Source organism: Homo sapiens, chromosome 3, assembly GCF_000001405.40.
Source record: "Homo sapiens chromosome 3, GRCh38.p14 Primary Assembly".
Lineage (NCBI taxonomy): Eukaryota > Metazoa > Chordata > Mammalia > Primates > Hominidae > Homo > Homo sapiens.
Genome location: NC_000003.12, coordinates 15,739,100 through 15,763,631, shown reverse-complemented (window position 1 = coordinate 15,763,631; position 24,532 = coordinate 15,739,100). Strand labels below are relative to the sequence as shown.

General features: G+C 38.4%; 1 protein-coding gene and 1 long non-coding RNA gene across 35 annotated transcripts in view; one reads left to right on the top strand and one right to left on the bottom strand.

The window, feature by feature from the left end:
• Positions 1–24,532, top strand: part of ANKRD28 (ankyrin repeat domain 28) — a 192,579-nt gene that overhangs the window by 96,183 nt on the left and 71,864 nt on the right. For 22 of the 34 annotated variants that reach the window (XR_007095653.1, NR_146112.2, XR_007095652.1 and 19 more), the window contains one exon: positions 11,812–11,882. The exons of 10 other annotated variants lie outside the window; for them this stretch is intronic. Coding sequence is in view for 17 of the 24 variants with exons in the window: in XM_011533542.4 (XP_011531844.1) it covers positions 11,812–11,882 (71 nt within the window). In the remaining 7 variants the exon portion in view is untranslated. Of the gene's footprint in view, positions 1–7,084; positions 7,153–11,811; positions 11,883–24,532 lie in introns of those variants that run through there. 2 more of the 34 variants (NM_001195099.2, XM_047447813.1) reach the window with 2 other exon arrangements.
• LOC101927647 (uncharacterized) lies at positions 1,446–24,251 on the bottom strand. The gene is made up of 2 exons (XR_001740422.2): positions 23,369–24,251; positions 1,446–5,477 (listed from the first exon to the last, which is right to left on the bottom strand). It is a non-coding gene; the product is annotated as an uncharacterized LOC101927647 (long non-coding RNA).

Below are 24,532 nucleotides of genomic sequence, written 5' to 3'. Positions count from 1 at the left end.
CATGTCCTTGCTCAGATGTCGCATCATCAACAAGATCTTCCTTGGTCACTACCACTACCACCTAATCCCCCTCGCCTGTGTTATCTTTTCTCCTAGTGTTTATTGTTACCTGACATCCTTTTTAAATTACTTGTTTACTGTCGTTTTATCTCCTCCAGAATGTAAACTCCAAGAAGGCAGGCAGTTAGTCTACTTTGCCTTCCTAGCATATTTATTTAAAGTGCCTGGGATGGTGATTATAGCAATATAAGCTTAGACTGTGTCTCCTTTTCAGAAATTTGTTTACATTTTGGTTTGTTTCTCAAGTCTTTAATGGAAATGAGAATGGGAGAGGTGGGGATGGGTAGAAGTTAAGGGTTGAAGGGTATCAGGTAAGTGGAAAGGGAAAGAAGGCGAATGATTTGTCTTTGAGTGCAACTCAGGGTCTTAGACTTTTTTCTCTTTAGACTTACCAGTTAGGCTCTAATTTAGGAAAAATAAAACAAAAACTTACATGGGTTTGGAGTAAAATTAGCTGGAGTAAAATCCAAGGCTAGATTTCTATTGAACTAGAACCTCAGCTTTCTGCTTATAAACAAAAAAAATAAAGAAATAAACCAGGCTTTGTGTTGCCATGAGAGACACTACAGATAGTGTGAATGTCACAAGCTCTTTTGCCAGACAGATTTGGATACAGTCCTGGCCTTACCTCTTAGCACCTCCATGATCTTTTGAAGTTTATTTGCTCTCTGAGCCTCAACTTCCTCATCTAAAAAAATGGGAATAATATAAAATTTATAGGCTTAAAGAAGCAAATGAGATTATGTCATTAAGATACCTAGAAAAGTCCCTGGCATATAGTATTCAAAATTATGGCTATTTTTTTTTAAGGAGCATTTCTATTTTTTCCTTCACTTTTTTGGTTCTGCCAAGTAAATAAATTCCTTGATATCAGGAATTATCTTCTCTGTGACTTTTAGATATGCTTTCTTAAAAATTCTCCGCTGTCAGTTTTGAAGTCCAGTTATTACGTTCTGAAATGATAAAGAGGAAGGAATGACTTACCTACTGGGGGAAAATGAAAAATAATTTATTTCCACAATCTAGAAAGACAAAGGTTGAAAAAAAATAGACTCTATATACTCTGGAGAAGTGTATTTATATGTTTTAAATTCTACAATCAAGAAACAGCCTTTAAAGCTTTAATATGATATAAGTACCTTCCTGAACAGGGTAGGTATTTGCTCCCCTGAGGAAATAGTAAGGGCTCCTGTAATTTATGGATAACAGAGCTCTAACAAAAAGATAGGTAGTAATCAGGATGTGTATTTAACTTACGAAAGTTGACACTATAGAGGATAACTCCCATAGCCTTTTATAAAAATATCCTTTCACATAAATGAGGAAGGAACCAGGAGAGTTTTTTTTTTTTTGTTTTGTTTTTTTTTTTTTTTTTTTTTTTTTAAAGACATAGTCTTGCTCTGTTACCCAGGCTGGAGGGCAGTGGCACCATCTCTCGGTTTACTGCAACCTCCACCTACCAGGTTCAAATGATTCTCCTGCCTCAGCCTCCTGAGTAGCTGGGATTACAGGCATGCATCACCAGGCCCAACTAATTTTTGTATTTTTAGTAGAGATGGGGTTTCACCATGTTGGCCAGGCTGGTCTCGAACTCCTGACCCCAGGTGATCCACCCACCACGGCCTCCCAAAGTGCTGGGATTACAGCTGTGAGCCACCATGCCCAGCCCAGGAGAGATTTTGAAATCTGAACCAGAAACCTGATCAGGAAGGAATTTTGATTGGTGGATATTTCTTCAGTTCATTCATGTTATATCCATTTTAAATTCCTATTAACTCTTTAAATTGAAAGTTGATTAGGACAGTTTTACAGAAGATATACTACACATTTTAGAAGTCAAGTATAAGCTAACCAGTGAATTCTTACTTTTATATTGGAAATAGATTTCCAGAATAGCAGGGTAGTAAAAGACTAATCGTATCCAAATTTTAGTTCAGAATAAATATCAGAAGAATAGTCTTCAGACAATATATAGTATATAGACTCATAAGGTTCTGTATAGATGCTCCAGGAGTTCTGCTTAAATTTGGTTTGAATGCCATGGTTGCTGAGGCCCAAGTTAAACTGACTGATTTCTATAACCCTAATTTTAAATTCTGGATCCATCAAAACAGCCTTTTAATGAATTATGGTAAGTTGAGTTATAAATTAGAATTGAAACTAGATATTTGATCTGATCAATTCTCTAGGTAAAGATGAGAAAAAAATACATGAAGAGAAATATAGGCAACAAAATTAGGCTAATTTGTTTATAGTTAGTAATGAAAATTTAGTGTAGGTGTTTACACTTCATGTTAATTACCAACACCACATTTTAGTAGCAGGTAGGTATAATCTTAAGTAAATTAAGCAATATGAAATAATGCTTATTTGTATAAAAGTCGTGTAAGATTGCATTAAAGTCATATGTTTTCATAAGAACATACAATAGTCAGTTACTGTAATTTTGTATTTTAAAAACTACTGCGATATCCATAGCAAGAGTTCTATATTCTCTAAATATATTTCTCTAACATAAAAAAATAGAAAGATTGAGATTATTTTAGAGTCATTTCCTTCTGTGTTCATATTTCAGGTTTTTATTATGTCTGACTTGTGATTAAAAATTAGGAAATAAGGATATTTATATTTTCTCCAATTGGTTTCACTCTTTTGTGTTGCCTTGGCCCTTTAAGTGATGTGGAAAACCAATGGAGAGTTCTGTTTGGAGTGGAATAACATGCTCTGACTTATGTTTTTAAAGATTGATTCTCTGGCTTTGGCTTCAAATTCTTGACCATTTTAAGTCATGTTTATCCTACTTTTTGTTATTTCTAGGTTTTTATCTTTAATAGTTTTCCTTTTTTCCCCAAACTCAGCTAGCTCTCATAGTCTCTCTACATTGTCTTATCTCTTTCTTGTAACTTTTCTTTGAGGTCTCCTCTTCAGAACTTAAATTCAGTGAAGTTGAGTATATAGAGTAGCTCATGAATTCATCTTATTTTCTGGGATGGTTTTTTCCAACTGCATTTCTCCTAGTTTACTCTACTCTGTATATTTTTATCCTAGTCCTGTGCTGGATGCTTTCAGATTCTTACGTATCTTCGAGGAATATGCCTCTTTGCAGAACAGAAAGGAAGGGGCAAAAAGTGAACATCTGTTAGGTTTGTTTCTTCAAATAACTCTCAAACCAAATTTTAAGTTCAGGAGTACATGCACAGGTGTGTTATATAGGTAAACTTAAGTAACCAAATTTTAAGTTCAGGAGTACATGCGCAGGTGTGTTATATAGGTAAAGTTAAGTCATGTGGGTTTGTTGTACAGATTATTTCATCATCCATATATTAAGCCTAGTTCCCATTATTTTTCCTGAACCTCTCTCTCCTCTTATCGTCCACCCTCTGATAGGCCCCAGTGTGTGTTGTGTCCCTCTGTGTGTCCATATGTTCTCATCATTTAGTTTCCTTTTTTTGTTGATATACCACAGGTAGTTGGGCTGGCTCAGCAGCTTCTTAGATCAATGAGTTCTTAGATAGTAATCTGCTGGTGATTGGCTGTTACTCTCCCTCATCTCCAGCTGGGTAAAAAATTAATAAAGATGCCTTCTTGGTCTCTTTTTTAGCACTGCCCCACTTTATTCTTATGCAGTGTGAGGTTAAGAGTTCTGTAGGTGCTTTTCCTGTGAATTACCCAGACAGCTCTAGATCGTCTGAAAGATTTTTAGGGATTTTAGGACACAGCAGAGAGAAAGGAGCAAATGGGACACACATGCAAACATGACTTTTTAGAGGACTCGGTAACCTTCCCAAGATCTGAAGAAGCTTCGCTTGACTCAGTGTCCTTCAGTTTGGTACACATTTCACTGTTATTGATAGAAATAATTCATAGTTTGGTTTGTGGTTGTAACTGTTTCCTTATTGTATTGAAGATGGTATCTCTTCTCATTCTCTTTTATATTTTGGTGACTTGTTTTAGAGTAAAACTACTCACTTTCTTTAACTTGCAGTCCAGAATTCTTCAGAAACCAAGTATTTGTACATGATGCAACTCTAAGATTTGTGGATGAGAGGTATAATTTTTGGCGTGGCACCTGTAATCAAACAAGTGAATACATCCATAGAATCTATAGTAATACTAGAGTCCACTGGAATTAATGTTAATAATTATTATGGAATGGGGTGAAATAATAGCAAACAGTGAGCTTATTACATTTTAAATACTGTTAAATTTAGCCATTTCACTAATCTCATTTTAGCCTAAATTTGTGAAGGTATTATATAAGGAAACTAAGACATTTAGCTTTTAAACTTTCAAAGTTTTTATACTGCTAGTAAAAGCTAGAGGCAGAATTCAGATCCAGGCAGTTTGACTACAGAATCCGTGTTCTTAATCCTGCCGTAATCAGAATCTTCCTTTTTTCTTCCCACCATAATTTCCACCCTCCTCCCCCAACCACCTATTTAGCTTTTAGTAAAATTTACATGTGAAGTCACTTTTATTGAAGAACTTTTAAAGACTATTTGCTGGCCACTGAGGTATAGATATTTTGTTTGGGAGCTTATTCACTTAATGCTTGCATTCAAAACTATATGGTTAGCAGTACCTCAGACCTTAGACTGCCTCCAGTAAGTATTAAGTCCTTAAATGACTGCATTGTGGAAGGCATTTGTCAAAAATTCATTCGATTGGCCTTTTATAAAAAATACTCTCCTTACTAGAAAACACCGTTCTGATGTTTCTGGCATTAAGAATGAAACCTAAAGTATGTGTCTCTTCTTTTTACTTCAGTGCTGGTACATTAGTTTGGTGGGGCTGCTGTAACAAAGTACTACAAACTGGGCGGCTTAAACAATAGAAATTTATTTACTCAAAGTTCTGGAGGCTGTAAGTCTGAGATCAAGGTGCCGTCAGGATTGATTCCTTTGGAAGGCTGAGAGGGAAGGATCTGTTCAGGGTATCTCTCTCTGGCTTGCAAAATCGCTGTCTTCTCCCTTTATTTTCCCTCTGTCCATGTCTTTTTGCAAATTTCTTCTTGTAAGGACACCAGTCATACTGTATTAGGGCCCACCCTAATGACCTCATTTTAATTACCTCTGTAAAGAGTCTATCTCCAGTTAAAGTCATATTCTGAGTTGCCAGGGGTTGGGAGTTGAACAAACCCACAATAGCTGGTATCCACAACACTCTTAAAAGATACAGTGCAGCAGCTATTTTTTTCAGCATTATAGTTGGAAAAGTGGAAATGTCATTGGTTTTTGCTCATTCTACTCTGAGCCTGAAAACCGAATCTGAACCTTTTGCCACTGCACTGTTAGGTAGCCAAAGAAAAGCATTATTTCCAGTTTGGGAAGAGGGATAAAAGTACTTAGCTTCTGGCCCAGCTCACTGGTTATGGACTATCTCCTCTGTGATTTAGGAGCAAGGAAGAAAACAATTCTCTGCAAATAGAAGTTTTGGAAAATGATTTGTGAGACTATTTATAATTATTACAAACATGTATAAAGTTAGCAATAACTTTAATAGTACCTACTATCAAGTTCTTAGCCTAGATCAGAGGTTGGCTAACGTTTTCTGTAAAGGGCCAGATACTAGTTACAGGCCATACAGACTCTGGCAAGATACAAGTTACAGGCCATTCAACTCTGTTGTCATAGTGAAAGCTACATATTTAATATTTAAATTGAATAGATGTGGCTCTGTTCCAGTAAAACTTTACAAATTAGGTGGCTTGAAGCCTGTGGATAGTAGTTTGAAGACCCCTAACATAGATCTTTTTAATGTTAGAGTGAGGTGTCTTAGTCCTTTCGGGCTGCCATAACAGAATATCACAGACTGAGTGACTTAAAAATTTTTCTCAGTTCTGGGGCCTGGGAAGATCGTGATGCCAGAAGATTTGGTATCTGGTGAGGGCCCACTTCTTATTTATAGCCAGCAGTCTTTTTAGTATAACCTCATATGGTGGAAAGGGTGAGGGAGCGCTCTTGGGCCACTTTTACAAGGGCATTAATCCCATTCACTGCCTTCATGACCCAATTACCTCACAAAAGACCTCGCCTCCTAATACCATGACATTGGGGTTGGGATTTTAACATAAATTTTGGGGGAACGCAAACATTCAGACCATTTGACAAGGTTTAATAAGTATGACATAATTTATTCTGAATATTCCAAAATAGGATAGAACGTTATAACTGGAAATGGATCATAAGGATGATTTAGCACAATGCTTTATTTTACAGGTATAGTTGACCCTTGAACAATGTGGAGGTTAGGGGCACTGACTCCCCCAACCCCAACACAATAGGAACTTTGAATATAACCTTTGGCTCCCTAAAAACTACTAATAGCCTAATGTTGACCAAAAGCCTTACTAATAACATAAACAGTTAACACATATTTTACATGTTATATGTATTATATACTGTATTCTTACAATAAAATAAGCAATAAAATGAAAATACTAAGAAAATCATAAAGAGAAAACACTGTGTATTGAATGGACGCAGATCATCATAAACATCTTCATCCTTGTCATCTTCACATTGAATAAGGTGAAGAGGAAGTGGAGGGCTTGCTGTCTGGGGTTGCAGAGATGGAAGAAAATCTACATATAAGTGGACTCATGCAGTTTGAACCAGTGTTGTTTAAGGGTCAGCTGTAATTGAGGTTCAAAAATCAAAGAATTGGAAGAATTTAGTGACCAATTAGATTAGGAGAAAATAAGTCAATCAGTTGTCTTGCAGAATGAAATCTGGAGTCAAATGGGATACTCCTAATAGAATTGCTGACTGTAGAACTTCGCAGAAAGAGTGCCCTTTGTTGTTTAAATCTGGGGCCCATCCTCACCCAATCCTGTCCATACATATTCATATCCACCTCCCCCTCACCTCACCACACACACAGCCTAGGAGCAGGGATTATGATTTGCAAAATGAAGACCCAGGCCCCAGGAAACACTTCCAGGTCACACAGCCAACTAGTTATACAGCCATTATGAGATCACGTATCTCTCCTGCTCCAGTGTTCCTTCCACTAACCCATGACTGTGTCTTCACAACGTTAGACCTCTCTTCAGCTGCATTGCTGGCTGCCTAGAGCCCTAGACTAATGTAAGTAAGTAAATCAAGTTTTTGTTTTTGAATTTATGTTTTATTTCCGAATAGCTAGACATTTAATTCTAGATTTAGGTAACCTTTTCTTTTACAAAACTATTGTTTCAGAGTGCACTTTTATATGGGTGAAATATTACGTGTAAAGATTGGGTGAGAGGAAACTGATTAGCTGGGTTTTCCTATATAATCTATAACTGTGGTATGAAATGGATACAACCTGTTTAGGTGATCCTGCAGTTGATTTTTAGTTGTGTTATTTATTGCATGTAATATCAGAAACTCAGTCACATCTCTACTCTAGAAAGGTGAATCTAAATTCAGATATATGTGTGAGGATAGGCTCTGGCCGTTTATCTGAAGGGAAAGTTCAGTTGGTATGCATAGATTTGTGGGGGACAAGAAAAGACTTGTTAAAATATTGATTATACAGTTGGACATAACCATTTTGAATTTAATGAGGTGCTTCTGGCATGTAAGTTTTCTGTAAATATTGGTTTATAGTACTCACTGATGGTATCTTTCTTAAATTGCTATGTGTGTTGTCTTTTGTTTCTTAGCAGTGCTTTTTCGCACCACAGGCTATGCCAGTAACCTAACTTCAACAAATGACAAGGGACTGCTGTTTTATATTCTTTTCTGTCTTAATGAGTAGGAAATAGTAAAGAAATTAATCTTCTGTTGGTTACTTAAGGTCATCCTTATAAACCACAAATACTATCTTCTACCATGTAGAGGGCATGTGATTATGCCACCAGAGGCGGTTAACGACATTTGGTTTTATTTCTCTCTACAAAGACTGTTTTTTGTTTTAAGTGGGTATGGTTTCTCCCTGCCTCCCCTGTATCTCCATCCTCATTATTAGCTGTTGTGGCTGGTGTTTAATACTCCAACTAGCTATTGAACTAGTTAACTATATTCTGGAAATGTCTTTTCCATTTCTAGAATGAATTTGTCGTTTAAAGTATATATGAATATATAGATAACTTTGGAGTATTCTGTGTGGAACAGAACTCTATTTAGCTTTAGACAGCCCACTGACATGAGCTCTGGGAATCTGAACCATCTGAAATGTGCTGCTATGTTTGTTGCTTTTACACTCTTTTTCATTTTACAGGAACACAGCCAACTGCTGCTCTTGTAGTGTACATTACTGTGTCATATTTATCTGTTTATATTGTAAATCACATGTTAACTAATGTTGGTGGGGGAATATTGTTTCATTGTTGCCCTCAGATATAGCCCTGATTTCTCATATAGTTGACCTTTATTTTCCAAGGAATTAAAAACATTTGATTAGGCTCTTAGAAGAAATGCATGATTTTTTTTATTTTTTATTATTTTTTTTCTTTTTGAGACGGAGTTTTGCTCTTGTTGCCCAGGCTGGAGTGCAATGGCACGGTCTAGGCTCACTGCAACCTCCACCTCCCAGGTTCAAGTGATTGTCCTGCCTCAGCCTCCCGAGTAGCTTGGAAGCTTGGATTGCAGGCGCCCACCGCTGTGCCTAGCTAATTTTTTTTTGTAATTTTAGTAGGGCCTGGGTTTCACCATGTTGGCCAGACTGGTCTTGAACTCCTGACCTCAGGTGATTTGCCCGCCTTGGTCTCCCAAAGTACTGGGATTACAGGCGTGAGCCACTGCACCCGGCCGATATATACATATTTAAAGGTATAATATAAAGTTGCATTACTACCCTAGTACCTCCATATGCCCAGTTTTCAATGTGCCTCCCACCACCAACACAAACGTATAAGCACCCCCTCTCATTAATATCTTAGCATTCCTGTAGGGTTTCTTTATGCATATTAAGCAAATACAGTAGTACCCCCTTTTGAAGAGGTATGTTCCAAGACCCCCAAGTAGATGCCTGAAACCTCAGATAGTACTGAACCCTATATACTATGCACAAGTTTCTTTTTCCCTCTTCAGAATTTCAGGTAGAAGATTTGTTCTTACTGTAGATCTTAGCAACCTCAGCATGATTTTTTTTTTATTGAGAACTTACATCTTTTCACTTAAAGGAAGCATTTTACTGCTTCTTTTGGCATACTCAAATTTCCAGCATCACTACTCTTGCACCTTGGGGCCATTATTAAGTAACGTAAGGGTTACTTGAACACAAGCATTATGATACCATGATAGTCAATCTGATAATCAAGAGGGTCCCATAAGGAAAGGGTGAATGGCATATGCAAGATACGATGGACAAAGGGATGATTCACATCCTGGGTGGATGGAGCAGGATGGTGCCATATTTCATCATGTTACTCAGAACAGTGAGCAATTTAAAATTTATGAATTATTTATTTCTGGAATTTTCCCTTTAATATTTTCAGACCATGGTTGACTGGGTAACAAGCTGTGAAAAGTGAAACAAGGGGGGACCATTGTGTGATAAGATAAAAATAATTATCTCTTCCTTTTTCTACATAAAAGTAAAGCGTACTAGTCATACAATTACTGCTTTTTTACTTTTTGTTTTCAGATCTTTATTAACACAGAGTCTCCTCAGTTTTTTGTGCCAGCCACCTTCTGTTTTTTGAGACAGAGTCTCACTATCTTGCCCAGGCTGGAGTGTGTGGTGCAATCTCGGCTCACTGCAACCTCTTCCTCCCGGGTTCAAGTGATTCCTGCCTCAGCCTCTGAGTAATTAGACTTACAGGTGCACGCGGGCCACCACATCTGGCTAATTTTTGTATTTTTAGTAGAGGCAGGGTTTCACCATGTTGGCCAGGCTGGTCTTGAACTCCTGTCTTCAAGCAATCTGCCCACCTCAGCCTCCCAAAAGTGCTAGGATTACAGTCATGAGCCCCTGTGCCCTTCTATTCTCCTGCTAATTAATACTTTGAATCAGACTTCTCAGCATCCCTCATGAGACCTCATTTCTTATTTACCTTTGTTGATTCAGGATACTGTCTGTACTAGGTGTCTGTGTTGATACCCTTTGGGCCTTACTGCCAGAGCTTTCCGTTCTACTGTGTATAGATATGCATGTGCACATAAATATAAACCTGTAGAAAGAGGCACAGGGCTTAAAGAGAACCATTGAAGTCCTAAGCAGATAAGTGGGAAAACGAAAGACGCTAGCTTCTGTGTCACTCCTTCACTATCTGTAGGGTTCCAGCTTCCAGCTGGCAAACATTTCAAATGTGTGTACTTTGTACATTCCGTCTTCTACCCAAAACAAACGTTGGCATTACTGTGATTAGGCAGTTTGTGTTTTAACCATCTAGGGTTCCACAGTGCCTGGCAGATAGTTGCCCAAATATTTATTACATGGGTATGTCATGCTCTCTGACTGGTTCTTTATTTGCTGTCTTCCTTTCCTTCTTCCATAGCCTAACTGTGAGCATTGTTCAAAGCTCTCTAATTAGCTCTTGATTCTTTGTGTCCTCACTGCCACTGCCCACAGAGAACTCAGCTACTCTCAGCATCTCAACTACTACATTTGTGGATGTTTCTTACACCTCCATTTCATTTATTTTCTCTCATTTTTCAAGGCTTTAAAGTCTACCTCTAACATATTTGCTATTATGTACTAGGCACATTTATTATATGTTAATCTTTGTGAAGAAACTTGGGTTCAGAGGGATCACACAACTACTTAGGGACCCAGAGCTACTAATTGAAGGCATTACTTGAAGTCACTGCACTTGATTATTCCCTGACTCCTCACACTCAAAACCTAGAAATAATGTAAGCGTTAGGAAGTATGAAGCTTTGTTTCTGTTATAGTTGACCCCAACGTTAGGTTATTTTGTATACCTGTATTTCATCATTTAGAAAATGAGTGATTTAGGATTTGGGATATAAATCTAGGATTGCTTATAGGATAGGATCTGTCAGCCAGTTCTATACTTCCAAGAACCAGGGCTGTTTCTTCTCTACTTAGATATATTAATAGAATTATCCTACCATGCATGTGCTGCTTTTATTTGATTTGGATTTAATATGGGAGATAAATTATTCCCTCCTCGAATAATGTAAATTTTTTTGTCTTAATGTGTTTGCATTCTATTAAGGTTAATTTTTGTCCATTGACTTAATGATTTTTAAACAACTGTACAAAATTGATTTGTTTAAAAAAATTTCTTTCTTAAGCTTTAGGTATAACCTAGAAAGACATGAGTTGGTTCATTTCTTTCTCAATTATTTTTCTAAATCTGTAACCATTGTTTCTATCTTATACAATGTGTTTTAAATCATGGCTGGAGAACTATTTTGATGTTATCATATTACCTTATGGCGTGATATATTCATTAGTAAAGAAATGTAATGAAGACTTTAAAATAGTCTGCATTTTATCTCCAAGTATATTCTTATATTCATTTATTTGATTTTTTTAACACACATTCTAAAATGGGGTCTGATTTCTACCTTGGATATGCTCTGTATAAAGGTGGCTTTTCTAACCTATATATAAAATGATGTTTATTTTGTTTTAAATTAAAAAACTAAGACTTTATTGGACAATTATATCAATTTAAAAGGCTAATTTTGTTTTATATTCTAAGGGTAATTTTATCAGCAGAAAGTGTAAAAAATAAGTTTTTTTTCAATTGTCATTTATCCAATTTGGATTATATATAACTACTATTTCAGGAGATTTATTAAAAATATTTTATGTACAATATTTCAATTTATTTTTTTCTTCTTGTTGCAGGAGCTAGAGTTAATGCCAAAGACAGCAAATGGTTGACACCTTTACACAGAGCAGTTGCATCTTGTAGTGAGGTATGAAATTTCTCTTAGTAAATATGTTTTATATGAAAACATTAAATAGGCGTACCCCTGAATCCATATTCAAATTCTATGTTTTCAAAAGAAGGAAAAGCTACTGAGATACCTTGACTGGTCATTTTACTTTAGAATTTGTACAAACCAAGTTAATTGTTTCATTTCTTCTTTTGTTTATAAGGCCTCTTGCAGTCTGAAGTAGCAGAGAATAGAAAACCCTATCTCTGTCCCTTCTACAAGAGAAATCATTTTTCTGTCCTATATATTCTTCCTCAGGGCTTTTCTCTACCTATTTACAATAGTCTCTTACAAAGGTTTCACTGATTGTGATCAAGAAAGAATCTCATCAGTGTATAATAATTAATTGAAATGTTACTTAGCTAAATACTGAAATTAGCTTCAAAACCATTACTTGATTGCACATTTTACTGGTTATAAATATATAACTTTAAAATGTTTGAGAGGGATTACAAGGAAGAATAGTTCCTTCTTGTGTACAGCCTTGTATATTGTTTGCTTGTTGAGATAACTGACATTTTTAGAAAATGTTCATTATTTGCACAGTATTTTTATATTTCTCATATCTTTCAGTCCTGAGGACATCTTTGTAGGATAGACGTCTTGAGGAAACTATATAGTTAATGATTCATGAAAAACTACTCAGCTGTTAAATGATAGAGATGAGACAAAAACCTGAATCATCTTTTTTTTTTTTCTGTTATTTTACTTTATAATGTGTATTCGGTGCTTTTCTAAAATGCATTGTGTCCAAAGTACCCATTTTACCTACTTTACAGTAGTTGTAACTTGTTGCAAAGCTTAAAAAATAATTTAAAATACAAAAGTATGTGATAGTATAAGTTTATGTTCATCTAGTATTTCTTTAGTTATTCAAATTGTGAGGTTAAGAAAGGAACTCCTAAGTGTAGCTACTGCTTCTTCTGTCCATCATGGGACTATGTAGTTTGGGAGAAGGAAAGGGAACTCTAACTAGTGCCTCATGAGAAACTATGGAGCTTCTGTCTCTTTGTCCTTTGTATTCCTCATTGTGAACTACATCTTGAACCCAGAGCAATAGCTGGGCAAGTGAAGAGTCATAAAGGTGAAATGTGACTGAGAAGGATTACAAACCCTGTAATTAACAGAGGCAATCTATTAGCTGTAGCCTCCTAGTTAGGAGAAGGATGGGGACAGTGGGTGCAGTTGAACACACAACCTAACTCTGAACTGGGTCCTTGATGTGCTATAGCTTATGAACTTATGGAACTTAGATTTGGAGACACTGGCTTCAATTATTACGTGCAACTTTTCAGCTGTGCGATGTTGGACAAGTCTAGGAATTATAAAAACTAAGACATACTAGCCAAAATACTTTGAATTCTGAAATTCCATTGTAATGTTATTAATTTTGTGGTTAGCTCTCCATAAAGATGTTTATTTAAATAAAAACAGTTAAGATAAACATTACTGTTATTGGAACATATTAATGTTAGCCATACCTACGCATTTTGTTTTAAGATTCTTGGGATTATGGCTATTAAAATAATGGATTTTTACCAGATTAAGTCATAAGAAGGTACAATTTATATATTTGCAGAAGTTGTAAAACAGACCAAAAATTACTAAAGAAAAATTAACATTAAAGGAAGACAGCAAATTCTGCCAGAGACTTAATTCCTAATTTTTAAAAACTATGTGCTCAGCCTGAATTTAAGGGCAAGTTGTAGGTTAGAAAGCAAATAATCCTAGTAAGTTTCTTAATTCTACTCTTCAGTCTAAAAATTACAAGGCAGATGACTAAACAGAAACACAACCAAGAACCCTCAGAGTCCGCTTCACTCCCCTGCTACCTCCACTGGAGCAGGTGCTAGTATCCACAGCTGAAGGACCTGAAGACAGATCACATCACAGGACTCTTTACAGACATTCCCCAGTACCATCCCGGAGCCTAGTAGCTCCACTGGGTTACTAGACCCAGAAGAGCAAAAACAATCACTACAGTTTGGCTCTCAGGAATACCCATTCCTAGGGGAAGTGGGAGAACACCACATCAAGGGAACACCCAGTGGGACAAAATAATTTAAACAGTAGTCCTTGAATCCCAGATCTTCCCTCTGACATAGCCTACCCAAATGAGAAAGAACCAGAAAAACAATTCTGGTAATATGACAAAACAAGGTTATTTAACACCCCCAAAATATACCAGCTCACCAGCAATGGATGCAAACCAAGATGAAGTCTATGAATTGCCAGGAAAAGAAGTCAGAAGATTGATTATTAAGCTAATTAAGGAGACACCAGAGAAAAGTGAAGTCCAACTTAAATTAAAAACATAGGCCGGGCGCGGTGGCTCACGCCTGTAATCCCAGCACTTTGGGAGGCCGAGGCGGGTGGATCATGAGGTCAGGAGATCGAGACCATCCTGGCTAACAAGGTGAAACCCCGTCTCTACTAAAAAAATACAAAAAATTAGCCGGGCGCGGTGGCGGGCGCCTGTAGTCCCAGCTACTCGGGAGGCTGAGGCAGGAGAATGGCGTGAACCCGGGAAGCGGAGCTTGCAGTGAGCCGAGATTGCGCCACTGCAGTCCGCAGTCCGGCCTGGGCGACAGAGCGAGACTCCGTCTCAAAAAAAAAAAAAAAAAAAACAAAAACATAATATAGAATATGAAAGGAAAATTCTTTAGTGAAATAGGTAAAAACAGTCACAACTTCTAGAAATCAAGGTCACACTTAGAGACATGCAAAATGCACTGGAAAGTCTCAGCAATACAATCAAACAAACAGAAGAACTTTAGCGCTTGAAGACAAGGCTTTTGAATTAACCCAATCCATCAAAGACAAAGAAAAAAAATTTTTTTTTAAATGAACGAAGTCTCCAAGAAGTTTGGGACTATGTTAATTTTCCAAAGCTGAGAATAGTTGGTGTTCCTGAGGAAGAAGAGAACTCTAAAAGTTTGGAAACTATATTTGAGAGAATAATTGAGGGAAACTTTCCCAGCCTTGCAAGAGATCTGGACATCCAAATACAAGAAGCTCAAAGAACACCTGGCAAATTCATCACAGAAAGATTATCACCTAGGTACATAGTCATCAAGTTATCTAAAGTCAAGATGCAGGAAAGAATCTTCAGAGCTGTGAGGCAAAAGCATCAGGTAACCTATAAAGGAACACCTATCAGATTAACAGCAGATTTCTCAGCGAAGCCCTACAAAGCTAGAAGGGATTGGGGTTCTATTTTTAGCCTCCTTAAACAAAACGATTATCTGCCAAAAATTTTGTACCCAGTGAAACTAAGCTTCATGAATGAAGGAGGGTATACAGTCTTTTCCAGACAAAAATTCTGAGAGAATTCACCACTACCAAGCCAGCGCTACAAGAACTGCTAAAAGGAGCTCTAAACCTTGAAAGAAATTCTTGAAATACTCCAAAATAGAACCTCCTTAAACCGTAAATCTTACAAGACCTATGTAACAATAATATGATTTTTAAAAAAAGGTATTCAGGCAACAAATAGCATGAGGAATAGAATAGTACCTCACATCTCAATACTAACATTGAATGTAAATGGCCTAAATGCTCTACTTAAAGGATACAGAATGGAAGAATGGATAAGAATTCACCAACCAAGTTTCTGCTGTCTTCAGTAGACTCACCTAAGAGTAAGGACTCACAGAAACTTAAGTAAAGGGGTAGAAAAAGATACTCCATGCAAATGGACACCAAATGTGAGCAGGGATCACTATTTTTATATCAGACAAAACAGACCTTAAAGCAACAGCAGTTAGGAAAAAACAAAGAGGGACATTATATAATGATAAAAGGACTAGTCCAACAGGAAAATGTCACAATTCTAAATATGTATGCTCCTAACACTGGAGCTCCCAAATTTATAAAACAGTGACTACTAGACCTAAGAAATGAGAGAGCAACACAATAATAGTGGGGGACTTTAATACTCCATTAACAGCACTAGACAGATCATCAAAACAGAAAGTCAACAAAGAAACAATGGACCTAAACTATGCCCTACAACAAATGGACTTGACAGATATTTACAGAACAGTCTACCAAACAACTGCAGAATATGCATTCTATTCATCAGCACATGAAATGTTCTCCAAAATAGACCATATGATAGGCCACACAACAAGTCTCAGTAAATTTAAGAAAACCTAAATTATATCAAGTACTCTCTCAGACCACAGTGGAATAAAATTGGAAATGAACTCCAAAAGGAAGCCACAAAACCATGCAAATATGGAAATTAAATAACCTGCTCCTGAGTGATCGTTGGGTCAACAAGGAAGTCAAGATAGAAATTGAAAAATTCTTTGAACTGAACAATAATAGTGGCACAACCTATCAAAACCTCTGGGATACAGCAAAAGTAGTGCTAAGTGGAAAGTTCATAGCATTAAATGCCTATATCAAAAAGTCTGAAAGAGCACAAATAGACAATCTAAGGCCATACCTCACAGAACTGGAGAAACAAGAACCACCCAAACCCAAACCCAGCAGAAGAAAAGAAATAATGAAGATCAGAGCAGAACTAAATGAAATTGAAACCAAAAAAAAAAAAAGGAAAGATAAATGAAACAAAAAGCTGCTGCTTTGAAAAGGTAAATAACACTGATAGACCATTAGCAAGATTAACCAAGAAGAGACAAGATCCAAATAAGCTCAATTAGAAATGAAATGGGAGATATTACAAATGATACTACAGAAATACAAAAGATTATCCAAGGCTAATGTGAACACCTTTACGCACATAAACTAGAAAACCTAGAGGAGATGGATAAACTCCTGGAAATATCCAACCCTCCTAGATTAAACTAGGAAGGTATAGAATCTCTGAACAGACCATTAACAAGCAGCAAGATTGAAATGATAATTTTAAAAATTGCCAGCAAATAAAAAGTCCAGGACTGGATAGATTCACAGCTGAATTCTATCAAACATTTGAGGAAGAATTGGTACCAGTCCTATTGATACTTTTCCAAAAGAGGCAATCCTTCCTAAATCATTCTATGAAGCCAGTGTCACCCTAATACCAAAACCAGGGAAGGACGTAACAAAACCACAGACCAATATCCCTGATGAGCATAGATGCATAAGTCCTCAACAAAATACTGGCAAACCAAATCCAACAGCATATCAAAAAGATAATCCACCATGATCAGGTGGGTTTCATACCAGGGGTGCATGGATGGTGTTATTAACATACCTAAGTCAGTAAATGTGATACACCACATAAACAGAATTAAAAACAAATATCACATGATCATCCCAATAGATGCAGAAAAAGCATTTGACAAAATCCAGCATCCTTTTATGATTAAAACTGTCAGCAACATCAGCATAGAAGGGACATATCTTAAGGTAATAGAAGCTGTCTATGACAAACTCGCATCCAGCATTTTACTGAATGGGGAAAAGTTTAAAGCATTCCCCCTGAGAACCAGAACAAGACAGGGATGCCTACTTTCACCACTTCTATTCAAAATAGTACTGGAAGTCCTAGCCAGAGACATCAGACAAGAGAATGAAATAAAGGGCATCCAAATCAGTAAAGAGGAAGTCAAACTGTCACTGTTTGCTGATGATATGATCGCATACCTAGAAAACCCTAAAGACTCATTCCAAAACCTCCTAGAACTGGTAAATGAATTTAGCAAAGTTTCAGGATACAAAATTAATGTACACAAATCAGTAGTTCTGCTATACACTAATGGCGACCAAGTTGAGCATCAAATCAAGAACTCATTCCCTTTCACAATGGCTGCAGAAAAACAGTAAAATAGCTAGGAGTATACCTAACCAAGGAGGTGAAAGACCCCTACAAGGAAAACTACAAAACAGGGCTGAAAAAAGTCATAGACAACACAAATAGAAACATATCCCATGCTCATGGATGGGTAGAATCAATGGTGCAAAAATGACCATGCTGCCAAAAGCAATCTACAAATTCAGTGCATTTCTCATCAAAATACCACCATCATTCTTCACAGAATTAGAAAAAAAAAATTCTGAAATTCATATGGAACCAAAAAGGAGCCTGCATAGCCAAAGCAAGACTAAGCAAAAAGACCAAATCTGGAGGCATCACATTACCTGACTTCAAACTATGCTATAAGGCCATAGTCACCAAAACAGCATGGTACTGGTATAAAAATAGATATATAGAGCAATGGAACAGAAATAGAACCCAGAAATAAGGCCAAATACTTACAGCCAACTGATCTTTGACAAAGCAAACAAAAACAGTGGGGAAAGGACACCCTGTTCAACAAATGAGGCTGGGATAATTGGCAAGCCACATTAGAAGAAGGAAACTGTATCATCATCTCTCACCTTATACAAAAATCAACTCAAGGTGGATCAAAGACTTAAATCTAAGACCTGAAACCATAGAGATTCTAGAAGATAACATCAGAAAAAACCCTTCTAGACATTGGTTTAGGCAAAGACGTCATGACCAAGAATCCAAAAGCAAAAAATAGATGGGACTTAATTAAACTGAAAAGCTTCTGCACAGCAAAAGAAAACAATCAGCAGCATTAACAACTCACAGAGTAGGAGAAAATCTTTGCAATCTATACACCTAACAAAGGAGTAATATCCAGAATCTACAAGGAACTCAAACAAATCAGCAAGAAAAAAACAATCCCATCAAAAAGTGGGCTAAGGACATGAATAGACAATTGTCAAAAGAAGATGTACAGAGGGCCAACAAACATGGAAAAATAACATCACTAATTATCAGGGAAATGTAAATCAAAACCACAAAGCGATACCACTTTACTCCTGCAAGAATGGCCATAGTCAAAAAAATGAAAAAATAATAGATGTTGGTGTGGATGCAATGAAAAGGGAACACTTTTACACTGTCGGTGGGAATGTAAACTAGTACAACCATTATGGAAAACAGTGTGGAAATTCCTTAAAGAACTAAATCTACCATTTGATCCAGCAATCCCACCACTTAGATATCAATCCAGAGAAAAAGAGGTCATTATAAGAAAAAGATACTGGTACACACATGTTTATAGCAGCACAATTTGCAATTGTAAAAATATGGAACCAGCCCAAATACGCATCAGTCAATGACTGGATAAAGAAAATACTGTATTGGCCAGGCGCGGTGGCTCACGCCTGGAATCCCAGCAGTTTGGGAGGCTGAGGTGGGCAGATCACCTGAGGTCAGGAGTTCAAGACCAGCCTGGCCAACATGGTGAAACCCCATCTCTATGAAAAGTACAAAAAAAAAAAAAAAGCCAGGTTTGGTGGTGCCCGCCTGTAGTTTCAGCTACTCTGGAGGCTGAGGAGGATCGCTTGAACCTGGGAGGCAGACGTGGCAGTGAGCCAAGATCGCGCCATTGCGCTCCAGCCTGGGTGACAAAAGTGAAACTCTATCTAAAAAAAAAAGAAAAAGATAACTAAAAATTACAAGGCTATGTAGTATTGATACTCTTTTGCAGGATTATGAGAAACAGCTATAAAATGTGGCCATTCCAAAAAGATATAACTTCTGTAAACACTGAGTATCATTTTTCTTTTGAAAAGAAGGTCTCCTAAGTAGTAAAACTGCTAGAAAACCTAGTCATTAGTGTCAAGAGTATCACTTACACCATCGTTACTTATTTTCATTAAGTCCTGAGAGCAAAAGTAGCTATACTTATTACATTTAACAGAAAATATAGCTATGGCCACAGAAAGATGGGTTTTTCACCTGTAGGTGGCTTTTGGTTTATATTTTTGAGATACCATGGGAGAATTAAATCCTGTGCAAGCTGATTGGAGTGACTGTTTTCTAAATTCTCCTAAGGACAGAATAGCTAGCACAGTGATAGATGCATAGAAGAGAACTTAACTTAGCACATACCGTACTACCTTAGTGCTTAATTACCTCACTGAAACTAGGTTAAGAAAGACTGCTTCAGGTTAAATATTCCTAGACTCCCCAACTCTCCTTCAGTGACATAGTTTCCACACCACCTCCTACTAGCTGGCTATCTCAATCTGTCTCTACTACTATGATTTATGACTGTCATTCTTTAAGAGTAGCATATAGTTCAGCTCTGTGTAAGTACTGCATATTTTTCTGAATAAATGGATATCCGAGTATTAGGAGTTGGGTTTTGTTTTTGGTGTGCGTGTGTGTGTGTGTGTGTGTGTGTGTGTGTGTGTGTGTGTGTGTGTGTTAAAAAGCCACACTGCACTGCTGGAGAGCATACGACTTATATTTTAACCTAATCAGGAATTACATTTTAGGTCTGTCAAGATAACTGAGTTTAAATTCCATTATCACATGAGATATTGTGTGGTCTCTCCAAGCTTTGTGTTTATTTGCAAATATGTTTTGTTTTTTTTTGTTTGTTTGTTTGTTTGTTTTTTATTGATCATTCTTGGGTGTTTCTCACAGAGGGGGATTTGGCAGGGTCATAGGACAATAGTGGAGGGAGGGTCAGCAGATAAACAAGTGAACAAAGGTCTCTGGTTTTCCTAGGCAGAGTGTTTGTGTCCCTGGGTACTTGAGATTAGGGAGTGGTGATGACTCTTAACGAGCATGCTGCCTTCAAGCATCTGTTTAACAAAGCACATCTTGCACCACCCTTAATCCATTTAACCCTGAGTGGACACAGCACATGTTTCAGAGAGCACAGGGTTGGGGGTAGGGTCACCGATCAACAGGATCACAAGGCAGAAGAATTTTTCTTAGTACAGAACAAAATGAAAAGTCTCCCATGTCTACCTCTTTCTACACAGACATGGCAACCATCCGATTTCTCAATCCTTTCCCCGCCTTTCCCCCCTTTCTATTCCACAAAACCACCATTGTCATCATGGCCCGTTCTCAATGAGCTGTTGGGTACACCTCCCAGACGGGGTGGTGGCTGGGCAGAGGGGCTCCTCACTTCCCAGTAGGGGCGGCCGGGCAGAGGCGCCCCTCACCTCCCGGACCGGGTGGCTGGCCGGGCGGGGGGCTGACCCCCTCACCTCCCTCCCGGACGGGGCGGCTGGCCGGGCAGGAAGCTCACACCCCCACCTCCCTCCCGGACGGGCAGGCTGGCATGGGCAGGGGGCTGATCCCCCCACCTCCCTCCCGGACGGGGCGGCTGGCCTGGCAGGGGGCTGACCCCCACCTCCCTCCCGGATGGGGTGGCTGCTGGGCAGAGATGCTCCTCACTTCCCAGACGGGGTGGCTGCCGGGCGGAGGGGCTCCTCACTTCTCATATGGGGCGGTTGCCAGGCGGAGGGTCTCCTCACTTCTCAGACGGGGCGGCTGGGCAGAGACGCTCCTCACCTCCCAGACGGGGTCGCGGCCAGGTAGAGGCGCTTCTCACATCCCAGACGGGGCGGCGGGGCAGAGGCGCTCCCCACATCTCAGACGATGGGCGGCCGAGCAGAGAAGCTCCTCACTTCCTAGATGGGATGGCAGCCGGGAAGAGGCGCTCCTCACTTCCTAGATGGGATGGCGGCCGGGCAGAGACGCTCCTCACTTTCCAGACTGGGTAGCCAGGCAGAGGGGCTCCTCACGTCCCAGACGATGGGCGGCCAGGCAGAGACGCTCCTCACTTCCCAGACGGGGTGGCGGCCGGGCAGAGGCTGTAATCTTGGCACTTTGGGAGGCCAAGGCAGGTGGCTGGGAGGTGGAGGTTGTAGCGAGCCGAGATCACGCCACTGCACTCCAGCCTGGGCACCATTGAGCACTGAGTGAACCAGACTCCGTCTGCAATCCCGGCACCTCGGGAGGCCGAGGCTGGCGGATCACTCGCAGTTAGGAGCTGGAGACCAGCCCGGCCAACACAGCGAAACCCCGTCTCCACCAAAAAAATACGAAAACCAGTCAGGCGTGGTGGCGCGCGCCTGCAATCGCAGGCACTCGGCAGGCTGAGGCAGGAGAATCAGGCAGGGAGGCTGCAGTGAGCTGAGATGGCAGCAGTACCTGCAAATATGTTAAGCCCTTGTTTTTCCTGTGCTTTCCTTCAAATCAATGGTAAGAATTGCTAAAAAAAAAAAAAAAAAAAAAAAAAAAAAAAAAAAAAAAAGGATAGAACCAAAGGGGAAAACTGGTACTGTGGAGCCTCTTCTATACTGACCCCATGGTAATAATAAATACTCTCTGAGTACAGTTGTTTAACCTTCAGTCATTATCCCATATTTCATAATCTCATTTGAATTAATGTCATGGAATGTTTACTTAGCTTTTAAAAAAAATCAAGACACACCAGCAGCATTTCTTACACATTCCCTCTAATAACTGAAAATTTAGAATTTAGATTACTATAATAATGTTTTTTGTTAATAAAATCATCTGTGCCGTTAGTTATCCCCACATTATTTTCCGTGTGCTTATGATGATACACTGATAATATGATGTAGAATTATCCTAGGGTATGACAGGCTCTTTGATTTGTAGTTCTAGAAATTCACCTCTTCTTTTTTAATGTCTCCAACCTTTAGGGATTTTCTTCAGTTTTCTCTGAATTTTCAAAGATCACTGCTATTGTGATCTGACACGTTTTTTGTTTTTTGTTTTTTTTTTTTGAGATGGAGTCTCGCTCTGTCGCCCAAGCTGGAGTGCAATGGCGCGATCTCGGCTCACTGCAAGCTCCGCCTCCCAGGTTCATGCCATTCTCCTGCCTCAGCCTCCCAGGTAGCTGGGACTACAGGCGCCCGCCCCCCCACCTGGCTAATTTTTGTATATTTAGTAGAGACGGGGTTTCACCCTGTTAGCCAGGATGGTCTTGATCTCCTGACCTCGTGATCCACCTGCCTCGGCCTCCCAAAGTGCTGGGATTACAGAAGTGAGCCACCGCACCAGGCCTGTGATCTGACATGTATTACTCTGAGTAGGAAATAATGGATTCAGGGTTCACACCTTGATCTGTCTTGATACTCTAGTGTCTTAATTGCTATGTTTATTGTCTTATTTAGGTGCCCACTTACCTACGCTTACCTACTGTGAACCAGATTTGTTCTTGCTTTTTAGTGAAACAAAAAAGTAGAATTGATTTTCCTGTTTTTACTAATGGAACATAAGTATTTCCCAAACTTTCCAGAAGCTTTAATGTTTGTGTTATGAATTCCAAAATGGGAGTGGATAAGGCAAGGCTGACATCTCTAGTATTCTGTGTTTGCCCAGTTTATCCAATTACAAATTGTTCATTTTATTTTAAATTATTTATTATATCCACTAACATACCTACTAACATTTCCCAATATAGTGTTAGTTTTAGATCCCCCAAGTCACAATGTACTGTTCTCAGAGGTGAGGATCAGGAATCTTGATAGTGTTTATACCTTGTTTTCCATAATTTTTGTGAGTATTCATATATGTATTCTTTCCATATTCCTTTTTAAATTGAAATATAACTTACAATTAAAATGCATGAATTTTTTAGTGTACACCCTTAAGTTTTGCCAAATGTATACACCTGTGTAACCTTTATCCCAGTCAAGATATAGAAGATTTCTGTTACCCCAGCAAGTTCCCTCATGTCCGTTTTCAGTCTTCCCTGTCCCCAGAGGCAACCACTGTTCTGATTTCTCTTAGCATAATTTCCGTATTCTAGAACTTTATAAAAATGGAATCATACAATATGTATTCTTGTGTCACGACTTCTTTTGTTCAACGTTTTTGAGATTTATCCATGTTTCATGCATTATTGGTTCATTTTCATTGCTGAGTAATAGTACAGATATACTGTTTGTTTATCCATTTTTCTGTTGATGGACATTTGCATTTCTGGTTTTTGGTGGTTAGGAATAAAACTGCTATGAGCATTCTTGGATGGATTTTTTAAATCTTTTGGATAAATCACTGTTGTGGAATTGTGGAGTGATAGGCCTCCATATATCTTTGATTAGCTGGCTGACTTCCTTAGCAATTCGATAGATGACTGGGCATTTCTTCAGTCTTTTGCCATCCCTGTTAAGTACTGGTGCTATTTCCCATGTTTCAAACTGTTCTGACTACTTTTTATTTCAGAGGCCTAAAATGGTATGGGTGATTCATGGCTAATAGCATTTTGTTCAGTCTTCCTTGATGCTCTGTATATTTATAGCTATTTTCACTTTCTAACACTTTTCATGTACATTAGTTTATTGTGCTTTATAGCATACTTGAAAAGAGTGGTAGGCAGATGTTATTTCCCCCACCCCCATCTCCTTTACAGATAAGAACATTTAGGGTTAGTTTTATAGGACTTGAATAGTATGCCTTGTAAATAATAGAATTGACATGAGAACCCAGATCTCTTTCGGTTTTGGTCGTTTTCATTTTCATATGTAGTTTGGCATTCATTTACTGTTGCGGGAAGTCAGGGACCCCAAGTGGAGGGACTGGCTGAAGCCATGGCAGAAGAACATAAACTGTGAAGATTTCATGGACATTTATTAGTTCCCCAAATTAATACTTTTATGATTTCTTATGCCTGTCTTTACTGCAGTCTCTGAACATAAATGGTGAAGATTTCATGGACACATCACTTCCCCAGTCATTATTCTTGTGATTTCCTATGCCTGTCTTTACTTTAATCTCTTAATCCCATCATCTTTGTAAGCTGAGGATGTACATCACCTCAGGACCCTGTGATGATTGAGTTAACTGCACAAATTGTTTGAACGATATGAAATCCGGGCAC